Below are 8,513 nucleotides of genomic sequence, written 5' to 3'. Positions count from 1 at the left end.
GAAATAGCTTTGTGACCTTAGGCTAATCACGTCACCTCTCTGAGCTTCCAAGTTCTAATTTTCTAACAATGAAGTGCCAGGGAGATGAGAATAAACAACTTCAACGGCCTTTCCATGCCCAAAGACACTGCAGCAGAGCCGTCTATGAATGACAGATGAAATGCCTTAGAGGTTGTTACAGACTGAATGTTTGTATTAGACAAAAATGTATATGCTGAAATCTTAACCCCCAATGTGGGGGCATTAGGAGGGGAGGCCATTAGGAGATTATTACGTCATCTTTGGTATTAGAAACCCGTAACATCATTTTCTTTAGGTCTCTTATATTCACAGAGTGTCCTCAATTTTGTCTTTCATTATCTTATTCATTATTTATTCACTTTTAAAAGTAATATAAAGATATTCTTGTATTTATGCATTTAAACATACATGAATATATAACTAAGCAAACAGATAATAAAATTATTAAGTTTAGCTCTAAAATGCAGTTAACTGTCAGCATGCTAAATTTTAAAATATATAGTATTTGCCTAATGGGATTTTCCATTTTAATAAATTATAATAATTCCTTTAAGAAGAAAACAGACAAAATATATTATCATCTTGTATACTCATTTGTCTTACTCTGTAATTATAGTACTTAGTGTCATCTCAAACATTTATATTAATTACCACCTTTAACTAATCAACTTTTGTTTTCCTGGCCACAAGGAAACTAGAAGCAATATCTACTTAGATTTTTTCCATGAGTACACATTTTATACTGCATTTTAATAAACTTGAGATAAACACATTCAGATATATATATAATTCAAAGGCATTCAAATGCCCTATTAGTCTGTAGTATTTTGTAAAGATTGGAAATGAGTAAAACCCAAAATAATGTTTCTTGAATGATATTTAAACATTTTATTTTTATTTAGAAATAGTTGTGGTATACATATACCTTTTATTAATTAGCTTAATTTTATATTAGTCTAAGGTCTTAAAGCTAACCAAAGATCCAGAAATTACAAAGTTTACCAACACATTAAGCCCTTATGATCTGTTAAATAAGTATTCACAATATTAAATATCTAAAAGACACTCACATTTACAATTTTATTGGACTAAATACAATTTTATATTTCTTAACTTTATATAAGTTGCAGATATAATAACACATTATTGGGGCCATAGAACTAACATAGAATATTTTCAAATTTTAATCATGAGAAATTATATTCAAATCTTGTCTTAACTAAATACTAGGTGAACGTTTTTTACATAGTAATAAGATCAGAGAAAAACATGTAGAGCCTTTGTAAGCTAAAATTTAATTACTCATATTTGGTAAAATAGTTCTTTTCTTAGTAGAAGTAAACCTCTATGAGATATATCAATAATTTATAATCTATCAATCTCCAAAGTTTTCTGAGAGAAGTTAAAAACGGAAGGAAAGAAAAGAAGAAATGAGAGGGAACTGGCTTCTAATATAAAATCATCTCTGTAAAAAGGCTACTTACCCTTCTTTCTGCAAGGAAAGGAAAAGCCTAGACACAAGAAAAACCATTTCTCTCTCATGTACACATCCACATGTACTCACACTCATACATACTTGCACACATACACTCTTACACACACATGCACATGCACATACATATTCACATACATAAAAACAGTCACACATGTGCACAGTACAAGAAGAAAAGAAGGGGTCTCCTATTTCAAGGTCATCTCTCTCTTAGACAAGGCAGAATCACCTCCTGAAGGTTTCTTTTCTTTTTTGTTCTAATGTGTATCTCTAATAGACAATCATGTTTATGTTACAATTTTCTCAAAGTGATCATTGCAATTTCAGTTTGACCATGGTGGAGTCATGACAGAGACATGCACTTAAATGAAAGCTTTAAGGGAGCAGGTGTTTGTCCCAGAGGGCCAAACACATTGAGTAGAGCCCATGAGAACTACAGCAGACAGTAAGAATGGGTCTTGTACCACTTCTTATCTCTAGCATATGGCCACAGAGCAGTCATCACTGATAAGAGGCCCAAGGAAACCCCCAACAGTGGGCAGAAGAAACTAAATAAAATATTTCTCAGGGATGCAAAGACAAGACAATGGAAATTTCTTACAAGTTTTTGAACAGTATCCCAAGCCAAAGTTTGTCAAAAAATTATCAGTCTCATGAGACTGAACTCGTCAGTCTTGGAGTGGTCTGAAAGACGGACTTCGAGAGCCCGTGTGGTCCCTCTCTCTAGACTTCCTCCTGCAGACTCACAGGAGAAAGGGAGGAGTGTGGACAGCAGGAAACAGGGAGGAAGTGTTGGTATTTAGGCAGGTTTTCACCATGAATAATAATTTTCAAATTTAATTATCTAAAGGAAGGATACTTAAAATGATTCCTCATTCCTAGGAGAAAAAATGAATTTATTTGAAAATCAACTCAAGCAAGAGCAAATAAGAAATCAGGAGATCAGACATAATCAGGGCCCTACCTATCTTACGGTTGGAGAGATTTCTGAGTGGAAGGCTCAGAGGCCCCAAGGTAGCACCCTCTCCTGAGTGAGGAGTCTTGAGCCTCAGCAGCAAGGGGGAATTTAGTGAATCTCAGTGGTAGTTTAAGTATTGTTGAGTACTGACTTCCCAAAATATCACCAGAAAAATCTGCTGCTCAAACAAAGCTAAGTTGGTTAGGCTTGCTGCAGTAAGGGAAAAGACTTCTTTGACAGCTTTAGTAGTGAATCAGAAGGGAGAAGTCAGGGGAGAATATTAATAGCATTTGGAGGGCAACTCTGAGTTGGATGATTTTCTGCAAAGCAAGACTCTAGTTGGGATTGGGAAATGTATGTCATAATATTTTTGAATGGGTAGCTGTAGTGAGGAGAGGGTCCTTAAAGGCTATTGATGAATAAGGAGTTTGAATCGGTTCACTGTCTTGTCTTTCAGGAGCCTTATTTCCAGGAGTAAGTAGCTACGTTGTTTTTGCCTGATCACAGTATTATTTAGCACATGAATGAAAACTTCATTAGTTTTGGTTTTCATAACATACAATGATATAGAGGTCACAAGTATGGGCTTTGGCGGTGTACAGCCGTTTTCAAATCCCAGCTCCTTAGTTTACTAGCTGTGTGCCTGGAGCCACTGAATCACCTATACTTAGTCTCAGTTCTTTCATCTGCCTAATTATGTCATGTATTTGTTGACCTATTTCTGACACTGTTTTCATCATAACATATGTATTGACAGTTTCAAACACTGTTTGCAATATTTTATTTAATCCTTTACAATAGCCCAATGAAAAAATACACTCAAGCCCTTTTGCTAGATGAGGAAACAAAAACAGAGAAACATAGAGGCTAAATAAATTTCCCATCAGGAGACAAGTAAGTGGGCAAGCCATGACTTGGCCCCTGGTAAACTCTGGAGATGTCACAGTGAATTGCTATGCTATATGGCCTCCTTCAGGCTCATTGGGAGGGTTGAATGAGAAATTCAATATGCAGCAGGTCTTGGAACAGTGCCATTTGTTCAACGTGGTTTTGTTATATGACTGGGCCCTGCAATAGGATGGCCTCCTGGCCAGGGTTAGGTCCCTCTTTGCACTCTGAGCTGTCAGAATAGGCTCTGGCCACCCGTGACCCTGAACTGCAATAATTGGGTAATTATCTTCCTTGTTTTTATTAACGTTTCTTAAATGTATGTATAGCTCACATTTATTTTAGCTTTAGTATTAGAAGTGTTTAGGGGGTCTTTATTTTGAAGATTGGTGAGGTCTTCGTGATGTTATAGAAACTTAACTCTTGTTTATATCAATTAGCCTGTGGGAAAATTGGTTTCATTATATGTCATGTTGCTTATAGCCAAAGTTTCCAAGAAACTATCTAGGACATTAAATGAGAACTTAACTGTGTAACACTTAGTCCCTGGCACATGATAAAGGGTCAATGTTAGCTGCTACTATTAAACTATTGAAATGAAAATTCAGTAATAGTGTAAAGTCAAGAAAAGAACAGGATGCAGAGAATGCTTATTTTCTGACTTAGAGATTTCTGAAGGTGCAAAGTGTAAAAGTCATGACTATTCTGTAAAAATAGAAGAAAAACTTTCCCCATAAAGTAAAAACTGGTAGCATCCAATATATTACAGTCCTTCTCATTGTACCAAGTGGTCAGAGATTACAAGGCTTACAGAAACTTTGTATTATGCACCCTCTTGCTGCCTCCACTGGTGAGACAGTCAAGTGTTAGTCTTCCAAGTTGAAATGGAAAATAGATCGTCTCCATGGAATATATCAGTATTTTCTCTTCATGTTAAGTCTTAGTTCCAAACCACCTCCCCGGACAGTCGGAAATCCCACTGGCTGGAGGAATAAATAAATTCCTTATCTTGTCAAGGAAGCTCCTCCCAAGCTACAAAAGTTGCAGACAGCAAAGGGATCAAGTGACCCCAGAGATGAAATCTGTGACTCTCTGGTGGAGCAACATGATAGTAATAAACAAAGGTTGAGTGCCTGCTGTATAAAGCAACCTCTGGAGTGCCTGATATCTACTAACTCTTTTAGCACCCACTCGACCCTGTGAGATGCGTATTACTTTATTGTATCTACCACTGTAAAAAAGAATGAACCAAGCTACAGCAATATTATGTTGCTTGCCCTGAGTCACACAGCTGAGTAAGTCACAGGAGTTTGTGCTCATAATGACTTTGCTATGCTGATGTTTGAACCTGGAACCATTCAGCAACCCTCCAGCTAATATGGCTCCATGCTCTACTTCTGGAAAAGCTGAGTTCCTGCAGCCTTGTCCTACATCACCCAAAAGAGCTGGAAAAGAATGCAGTGAGTTCCATTCTATTTGTTCCGAGAATAGGAAAGCCACATTGAAGCAATATCTTAAAGAGAAATCTATAGTTAGGAGTGATGAAGATTTGAAACAGATGTCAGCAGAAAGAAAAAGGGAGAGGCACCATGATAATTATACTCAGTGATGCTTTTTAAATGACATATATTCAGTTAAATATAGGGAGGTTTGCTGCTAGCCATATGAACAAAGCACAAGAGAATTCCTGGATCAAGGCAGACTTAAAGAGACATTGAAAAAAAAACAAAATTCAAAATTTTGACCTAGTGCAGGAAGAAGTGCAAGTACAGGGGAAGTGGAGGGAAGGAGTGGGGAGGCTGGCACAGAGATGGCACGGGCAGATACGAGCAGATTGACTCGCCAGGACTGTCATTGGGCCACCGCTCTTAGCAGGAATTTCACCATTGAATGACCTAATTATTGTCTTGGGAAAAACACAAGAGCTCCTGTCCATAACAGGATAACAGATGTATTTCAGTGGAGCACAGAATAGGCCGGATGGTGACTAGCAAGAATAAAAGCCCAAGTGGACTGAAGAATCCATCCAAGATATGGTCAGGACGGGCTTGTGGAAAACTTGTGCAATAATGAGAAGAAATGTTATTTGTCACTACCTTTTTTAGGCAGCTGTGTGGATAAACCTACTTTGGGGTAGGAGCTGAGCCTCAGGCCTGTGACCGCTAGAAGCCAGACTTGAAGCCAGGAAAGAGGCCGCTCTTCCCAGGAGTTGGGAGAATTTGACTTTGGTGTAGAATCCAAAAGGCGGGAGAGAGGGTTCCAGGGAGGAGCTGGGGGTGGAGGCTAAAAAAGGAGCCCTGGTTGCCAAAGCCAGGAGGTGACTTTACAGGAGAGCAGCAGTGACTAAGCCAGGAAGTGACTTTGCGGGAGAGCAGCAGTGACTAATTCAGGAGGTGACTTTGCGGAAGAGCAGCAGTGACTAAGCCAGGAGGTGACTTTGCGGGAAAGCTGCAGTGATTGTGAAGTTGTTCACATACAGGGGGTCATGGGACACCCTCTACGATCTCCCGTGGGAAATCCTCAGTAAGCACTCTCACTCTAGCAATAAGCACTCTCACTCTAGAAAGCCCTTTTGGTGCTTCCAGTCACATTGCCTGGCCCACGCTCGGTGAGAGCTCACATGCGCTTCTGGTCCTGGCCTTCTCAGACGCCACAGTAGCTGCCCACCCTGCAAAAGACCTGGAAGGGGAGGGGAGCCTGTGCCACAGCAGCCAGAGGATGAATGTCCTGTCATGAACAATTCCTGGGGGCACTATGTACATTTTGTAGAAGTCCTGCCAGAATGGAACCTTGCTGTCTACAGCAGCGACCTTGATAACACATCATTTGATTTTTCCTCCTTTTGTGACTCATGCTTCTGCTACCTCACCCTGGCTTCCTGAGATCACCTCCCAGATGAACTCCCTGCACTGAATTCTGGTCTCAGTTTGCTTTGGGGAGAACTCAAAACTAAGACATTCACCACTGTGTTTGTGTGAGCCAAATCTTCACATCATGAGCAGGCGCTATGTCTGCGTTCAGCCAGACAAACAGCAAACCAGCAACTGCCCACATGAATACAGTCCATGGACAAGAGGAGAGTGATAGCTGAGCGACTTTGGGACTTGCTGTCAAAGATACCTGTCTCCCTCTCTTTCATTCTCTTTACCTTTCCATCAGACTATGTGGCTGCCTCATTCCCCCGTGTCCTGCAAGCAAGGATATTAACTATACAAACAGTCCAGCTTAAAACAAAATGGGCAGAATATTTGAATAGACACTTCACAAAGGAAGACAAACAAATTACCAATAAGTGTGTTAACAATTCTTAACATCGTTAGTCATCAGGGAAGTGGAAATTAATACCACAAGGAGAAATCACTACACACTAAAGTGGCTAAAATGAAAAAGAGTAATGACATCAAATTCTAATCTGAGTATAGAGCAACTGTTGATGGAAATATAAGATGGTACAGCCACTTTGGATATAATAAAATGATGCAACCACTTTGGAAAAGTTTGGCAGCTTTATGTAAAACTAAGCAAATACCTTTGGCCCAGCAATTCCACTCAAGCAATCCTTCCCTAAAGAAATAAAAATATATATCCGCCAAAAGATTTGTACAAGAATGCTTCTAGCAGCTTTATTTATAATATAGGATTCAAATCCAGGTCTTTCTGGCTCCAAAGTTTGTTCTGTTAAGTATCATGATATATTGGTTTAAATAAATGGGGTCATAATCTTTGGAAAACAGTTTAGAAGTTTTACATAAAAATCAATAAAGGCCGGGCACAGTGGCTCATGCGTGTAATCCCAACGCTTTGGGAGGCTGAGGCAGGTGGATTGCTTGAGTCCAGGAGTTCAAGACTAGCCTGGGGTTTATGTGAGACCCTGTCTCTATGAAAAAAAACTTAGCCAGGGATAGTGGTGTGTGCCTGTGGTCCCAGCTACTCAGGAGGCTGAGGCAGGAGGATTGCTTGAGCCCAGGAGGTCAAGGCTGCAGTGAGCCATTATAGTGCCACTGCATTCCAGCCTGAGTGACAGAGCAAAACCCAGTCTCTTAAAAAAATTATTAAAAGTAAATAAACAGAAACAAAACAGACAAAAACTCAATAAACACTTTTGGCCTAGCAATTCCACTCAATAAGACTTCCCCAAAAGAAACGAAAACATATAACCCAAAAAATTCCTGGAGGCACTCTGTATGTTTTACAGAAGTCCTGCCATAATGGAACCTTGCTGTCTACAGCAGCAACCTTGATAACACATCATTTGATGGGAGACTGAGGCAGGTGGATTGCTTGAGTCCAGGAGTTCAAGACTAGCCTGGGATTTATGTGAGACCCTGTCTCTACGAAAAAAATAAAAATAAATAATATTACAAAATAATATTCATTGCAGCTTTATTTATAATAGAAAAAAAAGAAAGCAGTCCAGATATATACAAAGTAAGAGAATAGGTGAACAAACTCTAGCATATTTATATAAACTAATTATACTCAGCAATAAGAAGGAACAGTTACTCTCATATACAACATGGGCAAAATATGAAAACATGCTGAGTAAAAGGAGCCTTATAAAAAGAGAGCATACTGGATTTCACTTACATGAAGGTTCTAGGACAAAATAAACTGATCTATATACCTGAGAAAATGAAAACAAATGGTTGCCTTGTTGAGAGTGGGTAAGGACAATGGTTAACTAGGAAAGGATAAGGGAGAACTCTCTGGTGTGAAGAAAATTTCTGTATCTTGGGGTTTTGAGTTACATAGCTTTCTGAGTTTGTCAAACCTCATAGAATGGTACATTTAAAATTTGTGCATTTTATTCTCTGAATTTTACCTCAAAGAGAACAAAAAGAACTGTAAACAAATATTGAATTCTAATAAATGATACATTAACTAGATTACATATATTGATGATTAAGTATTTAGTAGGAAATATACTAATGTCTACCATAAAATGCATTAAGAGTGGATTAATGTGTGGCTAGAGAGGTGATGAATTAAAGGTAAAATGTGAATTATACAGTCTACAAGTTGGTGTATGGGCGCTCACTATCCTTTCAATTTTTTTTTTTTTTTTTTTGAGATGGTCTTTCTCTATTGCCCAGGCTGGAATGAAGTGTCACAATCATTGCTCACTGCAACCTCCAACTCCCTGGCTCAAGCCAT

At 38.8% G+C, this 8,513-nt stretch overlaps 1 annotated feature.

Annotated features, from left to right (window-relative positions):
- Positions 5,086–6,285: an enhancer, noted in NCBI's record as "P300/CBP strongly-dependent group 1 enhancer chr8:62672336-62673535 (GRCh37/hg19 assembly coordinates)". NCBI's record gives its function as "activates an origin of replication core promoter dependent on BRD2, BRD4, P300/CBP, MED14 and CDK7 cofactors, with strong dependence on P300/CBP, by STARR-seq in HCT116 cells {active_cell/tissue: HCT116}" and the evidence as "EXISTENCE:reporter gene assay evidence [ECO:0000049][PMID:35650434]".

Source organism: Homo sapiens, chromosome 8 (assembly GCF_000001405.40).
Source record: "Homo sapiens chromosome 8, GRCh38.p14 Primary Assembly".
NCBI classification, from domain to species: Eukaryota; Metazoa; Chordata; class Mammalia; order Primates; family Hominidae; genus Homo; species Homo sapiens.
This window is presented reverse-complemented; position numbering and strand designations above follow the sequence as displayed.